This window comes from Homo sapiens, chromosome 12, assembly GCF_000001405.40.
Source record: "Homo sapiens chromosome 12, GRCh38.p14 Primary Assembly".
NCBI classification, from domain to species: Eukaryota; Metazoa; Chordata; class Mammalia; order Primates; family Hominidae; genus Homo; species Homo sapiens.
This window is the reverse complement of record NC_000012.12, coordinates 115573790-115589395: the sequence shown is the minus strand read 5'-3', so window position 1 is coordinate 115589395 and position 15606 is coordinate 115573790. Positions and strand designations below refer to the sequence as shown.

The following is a 15606-nucleotide window of genomic DNA, read 5'->3' as shown; positions in this document are numbered from 1 at the left end:
CTTTTACCATTTCCTTTTTGTGTATGATAGAGATGGGAAATACGTGGCTTGCCCGTTATCATTCCCTATTGCCTCAGTCCTGGCAGACATCACTAATCAATCACAACACTCTTTCTCACTGAGTCCATACATGACTCAGAATCCCTCTTAACCTACAACAGTCACAACCAGTCAGTCACAGGTCGCCCTCAACAGGCAACCAGTTTGCTCTGATAGACAGAAGAAAGTAGAACAGAGGAATGACAAAGAGGTTTGAGAATAGGCAAGTTCAAAATGGAATTAGAACCAAGATTCCCAACACCTTCCTATCCCTGGGCTAAAACCCTGCTTTAACAGATTTACAGTAGACAAACCCTGGGGCAGATTTTTAAAAATTCCTTGTCAAGTTGTTAAACATTTTTCCTGTTTTGGCAGATGTTCTTACTCTGCCACTTTTAAGGGTCTGTGGAAACTGCATTTCAACTACTTCCTGGGGGAGCCTTTGTGTAAAGTCTGGTACATCTTTCTAGTTGAGCTGGGAAGAACATTGCAGCACAGATGTTTGCAACCCCTTACAAAGTTCCAGACCTGGCAATATCTATCCAATGTGCCCCTGTGTCAGGCCCAGAGCCCCAGCGGGCAGCCCCAGTGGGTTTTCTTCCTGCTGTTGGAGCAGCCTTTGCTCCAGGCCCACTGTGTGGAAATGGCACCTGGAGGAACATTGCCTCTAAATGTTTCCCCTCTGGTCACCACCTTCCAACTCGCATGTTAAGAGGAGGAGAAATCAGCTTTTAACACCATCCAGTCACCCTCCTTAAGCACCTGCTTCTGCATTTGATCTAAGAAATTGGGGAAGGTCAGATCTGGGCTTGGAAGGAGTGAGAGGTCTTGTCAACAGGCGATTCCAGCCGTGAGGGAACAGGAGTAATCAGAGGCAAGTCTGAGAGTCTGGGGCAGTCAGAGAGCTCACCTGGAAAATATTTCAGGAGAAGCTGTCGTGGGCATTCTGAGTGCCGACAAGATGTGTCAGGGAAATCCACTGGGTGCTTTTAGGAAGCAGTCATTTTCTCTCGCAGAATCTTGCTGGGCTTTCGCGTTAGGGGTCCAGAGGGAGTTGGCTGGCATTGAAGAATTAGCCAGAAGAATTGGAGCAGCAACTGTGGGAAAATCAGCATGTTTGGGCCTGGAACAAGGTTTTTCTTTTTCTAAACCCTATTTGCTCCCATTCTCCCTTCTCTGACCTCGTTGGTGAATGTAGCAAATGATTTGGCCTCCGTGCCCCCATTTGCAAACTGTGGTACAGTGGGGATGGGCATGGGCTCTGCATCACACTTTTTGGGTTTGAGTCCCAAGCCTACCACTTGCTAGCTGGGTGATGTTTAGCAGGTAACTCCTTCTCTCTATGTTTGTTTTCTCATCAGTAAAATGGTAATAAAAATAGCTCACACCTTGTAGGGTTGTTAGGAGGGTTAGAAGAGCTAATTCAGGTAAAGGATTTGGAACACATGATAAGCACTGGTATTCACTTGGTGTATGTGTTAGACTGTTCTTCCATTTCTATAAAGAAATACCTGAGGCTGGGTAATTTACAAGGAGAGGAGGTTTAATTGGCTCATGGTTCTGTAGGCTGAATGAGAAGCATGACGGCAACATCTGCTCAGCTTCTGGTGAAGGCCTCAGGAAGCTTGCAATCATGGTAGAAGGTGACAGGGAGCCAGCATGTCACACACTGAGCATGGAAGCAAGAAAGAGAGGGAGGTGCATACACTTTTAAACAACCAGATCTTGTGTGAACTCACTCATCACCAAAGAGATGTCATTAGGCCATTCATGAAGGATCCACCCCCATGATCCAAACACCTCCCATCAGGCCCCACTTCCAACGTCGGGGATTATATTTCAACATGAGATTTGGAGGGGACAAATATCCAAACATATCAATATATATATGAAGTCATGTTTGTTGGCATATAATTTACATTCAGTGAAATACAATATGCCCTTTTTCAATGTACAGTTCAATGATTCCTCACGAATATTTATGGGCATGTAACCACCACCACAACCAAGCTATAGAACCCCTCAATCACTCCGAAAGGTTTCTTCTTTCTTCTTCCCCCACCCCAACCCCTGCCAGCCACTGATCTGATTTCTGTCCCTATAGTTTTGACTTGTCCAGAATGTCGTTTAAGGGATTCATTCCATGTGTAGCTTCCTGTGTCTGACCTTTTTCATTGTGCATAGTGCTTTTGAGATTCACCCATGTTGTGTATACAGTAGTTTGCTCCTTTTGATTGCCAAGTAATATTTCACTGTGGTAGTCAGTTCTTGCATTGCCATAGAGAAATACTTGAGACTGGATAATTTATAAAGAAAATAAGTCTAATTGGTTCACAGTTCCACAGGCTGTACATGAAGCATGGTGGTATCTGCTTGGCTTCTGGGGAGGCCTCAGGAAACTTACAATCATGGCAGAAGGCAAAGAGTAAGCCAGCACTTTACATGGCCGGAACAGGAGGAAGAGAGCAAGGGGAGAGGTGCTATATGCCTTTAAACAACCAGATCTCTCAAGAACTTACTCACTATCTTGATGACAGTACCAAGGAGGAAATCCACCCCCGCAATCCAATCATCTCCCATCAGGCTCCACCTCCAACACTGGGGATTACATTTGAACATGAGATTTGGGTGGGGACACAGATCCAAATCATATCAGTATGGTTGTTCCATATTTGGTCTATTTATTCACCTATTGAGAGACATTTAGGCTATTTTCGGTTTTTGGTGATTATGAAGGATGCTGTTGTGAACATTGACATATAAGTCTTCTTGTAGATGTATGTCTCATTTCTTTTGGGTTAATACCTTGGAATAGCATTACTGGGTAACCTAGTAAGAGTATGTTTGCTACAAAAGAAACTGCCAAACTGTGTTTCCAAAGGGCTGTACCATTTTGCATTCTTACTTTCAGTGTATGAAAGTTCTAGTTGTTTCACATCATTGCCAGTATTCCATATTGCCAGTTTCTTTCATTTTCTTTCTCTGGTTTAAAATTTTATCCTTTCTGGTGGATAAGTAGTGCTATTTCATTATGGTTTTAATTCGAATTCCCTAATGATTAATAATGGTGAGCATCTTTTCATGGGCTTAGTTGGCAAATATATCTCTTCTTTGGTGAGCTTTTGGGTTTCTTAGGAGTGAGAACAGAGTTTGCATGAAGCCGCTCACTCTTGTTCTTAATAAGACTGGAGTTCAAGGTAGAGGCCATATATATGTCTTTGGGTTTATTCTGTTTTGAGTGGTGGATGAACCTGTGTAACTGAAGGAAGCTGAGGGTTCAGATTGGTACTGGCTGCAATTGCTTCTGTTTCTTTTTCCCCCTCTCTTGGCTCTGCCTTCTGCTGTATTGGCTTCATTCCTGGACTCCCTACAGCCGCCTCTGGGAGCTACAGGCCATCTTCTAAGGGGGAAAGATGGCAGCAGTGCTCTGGGAATCTCTATCTCCCCAAGCCCAAGGTCAGCACGTGGAACACATGCTTCTCTCCTAGCTTTCTCACTGAGAGGTTTTGTGAGGCTCATTAGGTCAGCTGGCCATCCAAGAACCACTCACTGTGGCTAATATCTAGGTGATATGTCTGCCCCGGGAGCTGGGGTGGGGCCCATGCTGGCTTCAGGGACTAAGGGTGGGGAACAGCTGAATACAATGAATTGTTAGACCTAGTCTTGGGGGACTCCACTCTGGCCTCTTTGGGCTATGTCCCTTCCCACAGGATGGGAAGTCCATGGGGCCTAAGGGAAGACTTTGCTCTGGGTAGTGGAATCCCTGAATTCCATACTTTACTAGTTCCAGGCCTTATTCCAGGCTCTGCATAGACCTCCCTGCATCTGTCCTCCCAGCAGATGCTGAGGCTTCTGGTCCTAGACACGAGGGACAGTTGTTAAGGGGGTGGTGGGATATGGGTGCAGTTTGGATGTAGAAACCAGGAGACCTCTTGAGTGCACTTGAGTCCTGGGGATATGGAAAACTGGGGTGGAAAGAAGCTGCGCTCCTTTCCTGACACTTCATCCCACGGGAAACTCTGGAAGCCTGAGAAATCTAAATTCAAAGCTGTTCCCCTGGCCTCAGCTTCCTTCAAGGAACATAAAGGCTGAGTCAAGGGAGATGCATGCTAGGGGCATCTTATGAACAGAGGTTGCCCACCTTGGGCTTGGAGAGGTGGGGAGAAACCTTGGGACTTTGTGGGACTTAGTTTGTCCTCCTGCCCTGCATGTAACTGGGTCCTCCAAGAATCCCATACCAAGGTAGGACTAAATGTGCAAGCATTTTATTAAGAGAAATACCTATGGGAGGAAATAAAGCGGGAGCCAGCTGCAGAAGGCTGGGTGAGCCATGCAGGTCTGACCCCCAGAGTAAAGGAGAGAGGGAAGGAAGGCAGGGTGGAAGTGTTCTAGACCATGGTGCAGCCTAAGGAGATTCAGCAAAGCCATGGGGGGAGGAAGGTGGATCCTCAAGCCAAAGTCCACCATCCATAAAGTCCCATGTGTATCAGGAACAAACCTGCCTTAGTGTCCCTGCTGTTGTCAGTCACTGGCTAGGGGCAGCCACGGGAAATGCAGCCCCTCCTGAGCAAAACAGTGATGAATGTCATAGTTCAGTGCTGGGGTCCTCAGTCAACTTCACCTCCTGTAGTTAGAGGTCTGCAAGGTGCACCCTCATGGCCTCTACACCTTGAGACCTCACATATTAGGGGTGGACTTGACTTGATCCCTAAGTAAGGAAAGTTACTGGAAAATTGGGAAGTGGATCCTGGGGACAGCAAAGACTCCCAGTGACCCAGGACACTGAAAACAAGCAAAATTGAGATATCCTGGGCCTTAGGAATATTGCTTTGAGCTCCGTACAGCCAGGCAAATCAGGACTATCAGCCACTTTGATAATGGAAACCAGGACTCCCAGTCTCTGGCCTTATCTCTAGTGGTAGTTTGGGAAAGCTCCTACTCTTACTAGCACATGAGTCACCCAGAAATCTTATTAAAATACATCTTCAAATAGCCTGGCATGTTGGCACCTGCCTGTGGTCCTAGCTACATAGGAGGCTGACATGGGAAGATTGCTTGGGCCTGGGAGGTTAAAGCTCCAATGAGCCATGATTGCACCACTGCACTCCAGCCTGAGTGACAGAGTGAGACCCTGTCTCAAACCAAACAAACAAAAGACACTAAAAATGCAGCGTCAGAATTGGCAGGTCTGGGCAGGGAATGAGAGGTGTGGTCCTCAGCCCCCAGCGGATGCTTATGTGGGGGTGCACGGGCCACATCTTGAGCAGTGAGGAGATGGAGCTCTGGCATGAAATGGGTATTTGAGAAAAGGTAGTTCTGATAACCCTCGTGTTTCCCCAGAAGAGGGCTGTGTAGATCTTTTGCTCAGACTCCCACAAACATTTCCAAATGGGGTCATTTCTGCAGAGCTGTTGCCAACTGGGGAACAATGAAGTGACATGAAGCGGTGGCATGAAGAGACGCTAATGGCCGACACGTGCTTCCCTCGGCAGGTGTGGGGAAAGCCAGACCGGCTGAAGGGGAAGCCTCTAATTGGCGAGGGAAGTTGCTGGGCTTAAACAGGATGCAGGGAGAAGGCTCCATCGGGCCTTGGGATTGTGCTTACAGGGAGCACACCAAGAGCAGCAAAGGCCAACTCATAGAATCAGCGATGAATCTTTGTGTTTCAGCAGAAGGAAAGTGGAGCCAGGAAGTGAAGCCTTTCCTGGTCATTGGACTTTCCATTACGGAAGAGCCCCACTGGATGCAGGGAATGCCTCTGAAAAGTCCCGTTGAGCATTCAGTCCCATTTGCACAGCACCTGGCACGGTACTGTTTATGCATCGGATTTTTTTAATGATCTATATTTGTTCACTTAATGGCTGCTGTAACAAATTACGAACAACTTGGTGGCTTAAAACAACAGGAATGTATTCTCTCCTAGTTCAGGGCGTAGGAAGTTTGAAATCGGTAGCACTGGGCTGAAGTCAAGGTGTCGGCAGGGCCGTACTCCCTCGGGAGGCTCCAGGGGAGAATTAGTTCCATGTCTCTTTCAACTCCTGGAGGAAGGTTCTAATTGGCGAGGGACAAACAGACTGAGATACTACCTGTGTGTGGTGCTTAGAGACAGGCTGCTTGGGTTTACATCTCAGCTTTGCCACTTGCCAAAAGTGTGACTTTAGGCAAGTTCCTTTTCCTCTCTGAGACTCAGTTTCTTCATCTGTAAAATGGAATTGATAATCATACCTGGTATCCTCAGCTTGTGTTAGCGTTACTCCAATCTTGGCAGTGGTGGCTTGTAATCTCTCTCTGCTCCATCTTCACAGCACATCCTCCTCAATGTGTGTCACATCTCCCTCTGCCTCCCTATTTTTTTCTTTCCCCTCCCTTTTTTTTTTTTTTTTTTTTTTAGACAGGGTCTTGCTCTGTCTCCCAAGCTGGAGTGTAGCAGCATGATCATGGCTCACTGTGCAGCCTCAACCTCCTGGGCTCAAGTAATCCTCCTGCCTCAGCCTCCCAAGTAGCTGGGACTATAGGTATGTACCACCACACCTGGCTAATTTTTGTATTTTCTATAGAGACAGAGTTTCACCATGTTGCCCAAGCTGGCCTCGAACTCCCAGGCTTAAGGGATCCACCCCCCTCGGCCTCCTAAAGTACTGGGATTACAGGCATGAGCCCCTGCACCTGGCCAGCCTCCCTCTTATAATTCATGTGTTTAGGATCATTCCTAATTCAAGACCCATAACTTCATCCCATTTGCAAACATGTTTTTATTTTTATTTCTATTTTACCATGTGGGGTAAAACATGGTAAAAAATATTTAACATTCACAAGTTCCAGGGATTCAAAAGTGGATATCTTCCGGGGCACTAGTTCTCAGCCTACCACGTTATCTGTCTCCCTCATTAGGATATAAGCCTCTTGGGGGCAGGGATTTTATCTGTCTTGTTCACAGTTATGAACAAGTGCCTATAAGAGTTCCAGACATACATTAGAGGCTTGATAAACATTTGCTAAATGAATAAGTGAATGAATTTCTAAGACAAGAGGAAGGAAGTTTGCTATTGAGAGACACCGGCACAGAATCCTTTTGTGAAGCGTTTTTGATCATCTGAATAACTGCCTTTCATTTATGCTCTTAAAAAAGTGAATCTTCCAGCATCTCAGTGACTCAGTGATGCCCACCTTCCCTACACAGGTTGAGAGGTCATTCTTACCAAGAGCAGCAAAGACCAACTCATAGAATCAGCAATGAATCTTCGTGTTTCAGCAGAGGGAAAATAACCGCCTTTAGCTCACCTCGCAATTGCTGTACCTTTTCATGCCAAAATTTCATTGAAAGTGTCTGAGTGCACACAAACAGACTGAAGCACCGCCTATGTGAGGTGCTTAGAGACAGGTTGCCTGAGTTTACACCTCGGCTTTGCCACTTACCAGCAGTGTGACCTTAGGCAAGTGCCTTTTCCTCTCTGAGGAAATTGTCTCAGGGATAAATGAATGAACCCTTTGGTGATTGGTTGAACCCACAGTTCATCTCAGCCTGGCAGTTTGCCATGATAATGTGTCTTCCAAATGTGCACAGAAATAATGTGGATCCCAGCGCAAGTGAGACCACTGGGCATTAATAACCAATACTTTGAGAATCGTGTGATGTTTAATTTTAATATGTGCATTTGGTCCTTCATAACTGGCTCCTCTTCAGGGTGTGTACTTCAACTCAGACAAGGTGCACACAGGTCTCTTGAAGATGCCATTATAGATGTCTGCAAATAAATGACTGAAATGTAAGACTATCTGGTCTCTCTAAAGTAAAAGGAGGCAGTGCTTGGGGTCCTTGTCTTGCTTTCAGTCTTAATTAGCTCTCTTTTGTCCTTGCCCCAGCTTCAGGAGCTTACCAGTGTTTTGCCTTTGAGCCCTGAGTCCTTGCAAAGGCAGATGGAAGTTCAACTGGATTGAATTGGGGCAGCTCTGCCCACCAGCTTCTTCTCCCGGGCCTTTGGAGATGGATGTTTGGCCAAGACCTTGTCCAACTGGGGCATCTTGGTCCAACAGCCTTTTCTTGGAGGCTCTGGGGGATAAGTGCTTGACTACTAGTCCAAAAGTGGAAATAGGGAAGTGTGACCTTGGCCAAGTTACTGAACTTCTCTGAGCCTCAGTGTTCTCCTCTGCATTGACCTGCTCTGAAATTCAAACAAAACAACGCACCTGAAGCCTCTACAATAGGGTCTGGGACACATTAAGCACTAGAAACAGCGTTCCTCTTCTCTACCTCCTCTTCCTTCTCCTTGCAACCATTTGAGTTGGAAAGACCTGGATTTAAATATCCAATCAGTTATTTATTTTTTAGCTACAGTTTTCTCCTAGGGCAATAATAGCACCTTCCAGTGTTATGAGAAGTTAGACATGTGATCGCTGGAATCAGATAACCAGAGTTCAAATCCTGGTTCCTCCTCCCACCAACTGTGTGTCTTTGGGAACTACTTTCCCCCTCTCTGTGCCTCAGTCACCTCATCCATGAAGTGGGGAGAATACTACTACCTATCCTTTGGTGTTGTGTGAATTAAATAAATTATGCCAAGTGCTTGCAATGGAGCCTGGCATGTGGTCAGTGCTCAATCACGGTGTATTACTGTTGCTTTTTATTATTAATATTGTTAGTCTTCTTTGAGAGATGCGTGCAGAGGATGTGACACCCAGAGAGCTCAATAAAACATATGTAATGTCATCTAAGCAATCTTCTGCAGGTCTGGGCAGGAAGAGTTCACCCCTATTGGGGAATTGAAAGGAATATGGTCTTCATAGGGAAGACCATATGAGCGATTTGGAAAAAATCACAGGACCCTACAGGATGGGTGTCCAGACTCCTAGCTCTAATTGTTGAATCACATTCCATTATCAAGAATTAAATTATAGACTATTAGGATTAGAGGGATACTGAAGTGTCACCTAGTCTACGATTTTCCAATCACTCAGCCTTTCACTCATTCATTGAATGTATATGTTTAAAACACATACTCTGTGCCAGCCGCTGTTCTAGGAGATAGAAGTGAATACAACAGGCAAGGTCCCCAACCTCATGGAGCTGACATCCTGGTGGAAAGAAGTCATCAACAGATGCATAAATAATATGCTCGTGATATGGACTAGGCAGAAAAGTAAAGCAGGGAAGGGGGTAAAACTGCGTGAGGCTGGAAATGGAGTAGAGAATAGGGTGGTCAGACATGGCCTCCCTGCTAAGTTGACATTGGAACAGACACTCAAAGGAAGTGAAAAAGTGAGCCATGCACGTTGCCTGGGGGAAGAGCATCTGAGCAGAGGGAATGGCATTGCAAAGCCCCAGAGTGGTCAGGTAGAGAGTGTGTTTAAGGAGCAGTGAGGAAGCCCATGGGCTCAGAAGGATGAACAGAAGGTAAGTATAGGTCAGAGAGTTAGGGAGACACGGTGACCAGAGCATATGGGGCCCTGTGGCCATCGTAAGAATTTGGCTTTTACTCTGAGTGAGATGGGAGCCATGGGAGGGTTTTGAGCAAAGAAGGGGTGTGATCTAACTATTGCTTCTTAATATTTAACACAATCACCCTGCCAGCCTTGCTAATAACAGGCTGAAAGGGGACAAGGGCAGGAGCGAAAATCCAAGGTAAGAGGCTACAGCTATCTTCAATGATTCTAAAGATGGGGCAGGTACTACCGGGTTACCTGAGATAGGATTTGATGAGCTGAGGACCAGAATTAAATACTCTGTATCACGTAGAGATTATCCTCTTTTCAACTTTCCTTCAATCTATCCGGTTGGACTAAAAAGAAAGTTTCCCCATCTTGGAGTATGTCTTTAACATTTTCCCCTTTCAACTTTCCTTCAATCTATCCGGTTGGACTAAAAAGAAAGTTTCCCCATCTTGGAGTATGTCTTTAACATTTTCCCCATTGCTGCTAATCTTTCTTTTTAATAAAATGAGAACAGCCACAGGTGAAACACCTTAAGTGGGCAACTGTATCCAGCTAGAATTTAATAATGCACTTGCTTTCATTACATTTATTTTTAACAGCTTTATTGAAATTCACATAGCATACAACTCACCCGCATAAGGTGTATAATCCAGTGGTTTTTAGTATATTCACAGAGCTGTACATCTATCACCACAATTGATTTTAGAATATTTTCACCATCCTTAAAAGAAATCCGATGCCTCTCTGCCATCACCCCCACTGCCCCCATCTCCTCCAACCCTGGGCAAGCACTAATCTACTATCTACTTTCCTTCTGTGTCTGTAGGTTTCCCATTCTGGACATTTCACATGAATGGAATAATACAAGGCTTCTTTCACTTAGCATCATTTTTTCAAGGTTAATCCATGTTGGGGCATGTGTCCATGCCTCAGTCCATTTTATGGTGAAATCATATCCCATTGCGTGAATAAACCACGTTCTGTTTATTCAGCTAATGACATTTGGCTTTCTACTTTTTTTTTGCTATTATGAATAATGCTGCTATGACCATTTGTATACAATTAATTTGGGTGTGTGAATGTATGTTTTTATTTATCTTGGGGTATATGCTAGGAGAGGAATTGCTGGGTCATCACCATTTGAGAAACTGACAGTTTTCCATAGTGGCTGTACCATTTTCCATTCTCACCAGTGGTAGAGGAGGTCTCCAACTTTTCCACATTCTCCCTAAACTTTTTATTTGTCTTTTTGATCACAGCCCTCTTAATGGATATGAAATGTTCTTCCCTTGTGGTTTTGGTTCGCATTTTCCTAATGGCCGAGCATCTTTTCATGTGATTATTGGCCATTTGTATAATCTCTTCGGAAAGATATCTATTCAGGTCCTTTGCCTTTTTTTTTTTTTTTTTTTTTTTTTTTGAGACGGAGTCTCACTCTGTTGCCAGGCTGGAGTGCAGTGGTGCGATCTCGGCTCACTGCAAGCTCCACCTCCCAGGTTCACGCCATTCTCCTGCCTCAGCTTCCCAAGTAACTGGGACTACAGTTGCCCGCCACCACGCCTGGCTAATTTTTTTTGTATTTTTAGTAGAGATGGGGTTTCACCGTGTTAGCCAGCTTGGTCTCGATCTCCTGACCTCATGATCTGTCTGCCTCGGCCTCCCAAAGTGCTGGGATTACAGGCTTGAGCCATCGCGCCCGGCCTGCCCGTTTTTTAAATTGGGGTCTTTGTCCTTTGTATTATTGAGTTAGTTGTAAGAGATCTCTATATCTTCTGATACAATTCCCTCATCAGATGCATGATTTGCAAATAATTTCTCCCATTCTATGCATTGTCTTGTCACTTTTTTGACTTGCTGCTTTTTTTGTAGTTACTTTTTTGACAAGTGATACTGGTTTTCCAGTAAGAACTATGTTGTGAATTTCACCTTTAAATGAATTTACCTAAAAAATGTGAAGCGGTGGCTGACGCCTTTTATTTTACACATGGGAAGACTGGGGGCCCTGAGAAACCCGAGGCAGATGTGGGGCTACCAATTGGATGCCCCGATCACCAGCCCCTGCCTCTTTGCACCACCCTAAGCTTTGTTGGGGGAGGACACATGCCAGCATTCTATCCCATCGATTGTGTGTGCTTGCTGAGTGAACAGGAAGGAGGCATCTTGTCTGTACGTTATAGCGGTTGCCTGTGGGCAGGGTAGCTTTTCACAGTGCAGAGCAGCGTGATAGGGTGTCTATCTGCAAGCTGAGTGTGTGGGCATGTTACAGAGGCCACTGTGTGTGTGTGGGGGGGTGGTATGTGCCAGGGCACCTACACTCAGATGTAAACGTGAGCTCATGGGCACACGTGCATTCCATGTGAGCACTCAGCCAGAGTGCGTGGGAATTAGGAACATGTTCCAGCTTTGCAGACTGAGCACAAGAAATAGAACATGGGATGTGTGTGTGCTCATACTCAGTACAGGCTGACCTTGCTTTTGACCTTGAGCTTCTCTGCATTCAGTCTTCTCATCTATAAAGCAAAAGAGAGCTGGGCTAGAACAACTCTCCCCACCCCTCTTTTTAACTGCAAGTTTAGTTCAAATGGAAGCTGTGTATCAGTATTCTACCAGGAAAACTACCATCAGGTACAGTGAATAAGAGGGAGACTCTGGAGTTAGACCAGGGTTCAGCAGACTTTTTCTATTAAGTGCAAGATAGCAAACACGTTTGGCTTTGTGAACCATCTAGTCTCTGTCACTATTCTTCAACCCTGCCCTTGTAGCATAAGCAGAGGCAGACAATATATACATGAATGGACCGGGGCTGTTTTCTAATAAAGTTTTATTTACAAAAACAGGTGATTGGTCATATTTGGACCCTGGGCCATCATCTGCTGACTCTGTGTTAGAGAGTCTGAGTTCATATCTCACCTCTGTCACTTTCTAGCTGTGTGATCTTGGGCAAGTTACTTAACCTTTCTGAGCCTCAGTTTCCTCATCTGTAAAATGGAGATGATTATCCTACCTCTTTCATGAGTTGTGGTGAGGACTAGAGAAGGTATTTCATAGAAAAGTCCCTAGCATGTAGTAAACATTCAATTAATGTTAGCTACTATAGTGACATTCTTATGTATGTGCATGTGTGTGCCCATGTGTGTTCACTCTGTGGGTGTGCTCGGCAGGCATGCACGGGTTTAGCACACATTGCCAGCATGGGTGATCATGGAGATGTGCACACGGTGCATGCAGTATGCCTATTGGTGCAGAGTAGATACCTATATGGGATGTGTACTCGTGCTGGTTATGAGCTGAACAAGTGTGGGAGTCCAGACTTGAGAACACAGAGTCTGTGGGTGTGTGGAAAGCTTGTATTTGGATAGGAAGCTGAATGAAAGGAAGACAGTGGAGGGGGAAAGGTCAGACCGAGCCTTAAATAATGAGAGAAAGACAGAGAAAAAACCTGGACTTTGAAAAATTAAAATACAGGGCAGAGGAGATAAGTTTGACCAAGACTTAGCAGGAAGATGTGAGCAGGGAGGAGCCTGGGGCCCCTGGGGGCTCTAAATGGGGTAGGTCTGGAGGGTTCCCAGCCTAGGCTGGGCCAGAGGATGAGGCATCCATGGCTTCTTCCCGTGGAGAAGGAGGTGCCCATTCAGCCTGTCCTTCCTCTGGGTAATCCAGAGCCCTGAGATCAGATCCTGTAGTTTGAAAATGGAGAGGCCCTGAGCATAAAAGAGTACAATGAGAAACGAACACGGGAACATGCACACCTCCAAGATCCACCCAGAATTTGAGAAGGTTAAATGCCAGCCACAGAGACCTGAATTCCTATGCAGATTTCATCACGGGCTGCCTATTTGATTTCTCTGTCTTTCCCTTTCAATAGCCCCATCTCCAAACGGGAGACAGTAACCATTTTAAAAAGCTAACAGCTACTGTTTCCTTCTAATGTATCTTACAATGTATCCATCAGATCCCTGGGCTTCATCTATGTGAATCCATTTAATCTTCACAACAGCCCTAGAAGGCTGGTGCTACTATTATGCTCATTTGGCAGGAGAGGACACTGAGGCACAGACTGATTAAGTGACGCAGCTGGGATACCAACTCAGGCAGGAGCACGCTAGGGGCCTACATCTTCACCATTTGATCCTTAACAAATAATTGCACAAACTGCCTTTCAGCAGTGGCCATATATCCTACAAAAGAAATGTGCAAGGCGAGTGTGGTGGTGGGCACCTGTAATCCCAGCTACTCAGGAGGCTGAGGCAGGAGAATCACTTGAACCCGGGAGGCAGAGGTTGCAGTGAGAGCCAAGATTGCGCCATTGCACTCCAGCTTGGGTGACAGAGCGAGACTCCATCTCAAAGAAAAAAAAAAAAGGAAAAAGAAAAAGAAAAGAAATGCACACAGCGATCCAGTCTTTGGGGTTGGGAATGGGTAGGCAGGGATGCTGGGACTGAGTGCTTTCTGTTAGACACTAATTCCTGGGTGCTTTTGGTTGCAAAAATTCCATTTCTCATGTGGAAAAATTGAGGTCTGGTGGTAAGTTGTAGGGTGTGGCTCTCTTGCTGCATCACTTATCTGGCCTTGAGTTTTGGAAGGCTGCCCTTCGATAAATGGTCAGAAGGGACCAATCATGGCCTACTTGGGTGCCTACCTTGCTGGCATGAAGAAGCCTTCTTGAGCCAAGATTTAATTAATTTTAGGAATGCAGCCAGAGGAAAGGAAATTTGTGTTTGTACCAGGAAACCATGCAGAGGTGACCACAGCCTCTCTTCACTGAGCCAATCCGTGGTAGCTGGGGGACATGACAGCCCGTTCATTTCACTGTCTTCTGGCTCTCTGTGTTTCCTTGTGAGTGTTCAAACATGTGGCATCTGCAGGGAGTGACAGGTGCAGCGGTCAGGGTAATGCATTTTGTAGATCCTGTACCATGGGAGAGCCAGGCAGCTGCTCTGAAATCCAAGGCTGCATTTATAGGGAGACCATGCTTCTCACTATGGCTCCCAGCTGCAGGAAGTCTTAGACAGGTGCATTTGTGGGAGACCTGGGACTGCTCTGATGGCCGACTCGGGCTGGAGAACTCCATGACAATCTTTCGGAAGCTTCCTTAGATGACGTGGGAGCCTAGCACTCTGCTATTCAGCTTCCCTTCTCTTTCCCTTTCACTCAAGGGTGGACTTATTTGTAGGCTGACAGCTCTCCCAACCTTTCCAGCTCCTCCCCAGTTTTCCCTCACATATCTTTCCACTAAAAATGTCCTTGTAAGTTTCATATCTTTTTGGCAACTACATCTTGGAGGACCAAAGCTAACACAGCTGACAAATATCCACAATGTGCTGGATGGAGATTGTTTTCTGTCTGCCCCAAATTCACTGAGAAGCAAAAAGAAGCTTTGACTGATTTCCCCAAAAGGCTACACTTACTCCTGCAGCAAAAGCAGATGATAAAGGCATCATTTGTCAGGATGATGCCTGTCAATACAGTTCATGAGGAGTTTATCCAAAAGAGATTTTTAAAAACTCAGGTGCTTTCTTTTGCGGTATTCTTACATCAGGCTTGGGTTCGTATACTGGCTGTGGCCCTTACAAACTGGGCAAGTAACTTTGGCAAATCATTTACTATGCTACGTCTCAGTTTCTTCATCTGCATAACAGGGCTGGTACAAAATCTTGCTTCAAAAGGTGGCTGAGAAGAGTTGATGACACAGCTCATGGGAAGTATTGCAGAGTTCCTGGCATGTACTAGGTGCTCAATAAATGTTAGCTCTTCCTATTGGTGCAATGACTACTATTACTCACTTTTGTTATTTTATTCTCTCATCCAAATGGCCCATTCGGAGGAGAGATTCTCATCTCCATTTTACAGATGAGAGACTGAGGGTCTGGAGAGTTGAAGACATGCTCACAGGCACCAGGAAAGAATATAATAATATCTAGGTGTGGAGATATATGAGACTGGACATCCCATTCTTGAAGACCTTTCAACCTCCCTATTATTTCCTACATGCCACACTCCCCTCGACCCACAAAAGATACTCCAATGTTGCTGACGTTCTATCTACAAATTCTAGCTGAGTCAACTTTCAGTTTTCTTTTACAGTTTCTCTTGGGGAGGGCCATGAATTACTGGGTTGGTGCAAAGTAATTGCAATTT

The 15606-nt window shown here is 45.4% G+C and overlaps 2 long non-coding RNA genes across 4 annotated transcripts in view, besides 1 other annotated feature; both read left to right on the top strand.

Annotated features, from left to right (window-relative positions):
* The window catches only part of LOC105370002 (uncharacterized), a 59593-nt gene extending 51741 nt beyond the window's left edge, over positions 1 to 7852 (top strand). For both annotated transcript variants that reach the window (NR_188487.1, NR_188486.1), the window contains exons 5-6: positions 6431 to 6554; positions 7220 to 7852. This is a non-coding gene — a long non-coding RNA (uncharacterized LOC105370002). The remainder of the gene's footprint in view (positions 1 to 6430; positions 6555 to 7219) is intronic.
* The window catches only part of LOC105370003 (uncharacterized), a 389555-nt gene that overhangs the window by 173670 nt on the left and 200279 nt on the right, over positions 1 to 15606 (top strand). The window lies entirely within an intron of this gene.
* Positions 14570 to 14739: an enhancer, noted in NCBI's record as "experimental_24966 CRE fragment used in MPRA reporter constructs". NCBI's record gives its function as "activates a minimal promoter by MPRAs in K562 erythroleukemia cells, with activity observed for both the introgressed and non-introgressed 12:116012547 variant alleles {active_cell/tissue: K562}" and the evidence as "EXISTENCE:reporter gene assay evidence [ECO:0000049][PMID:34662402]".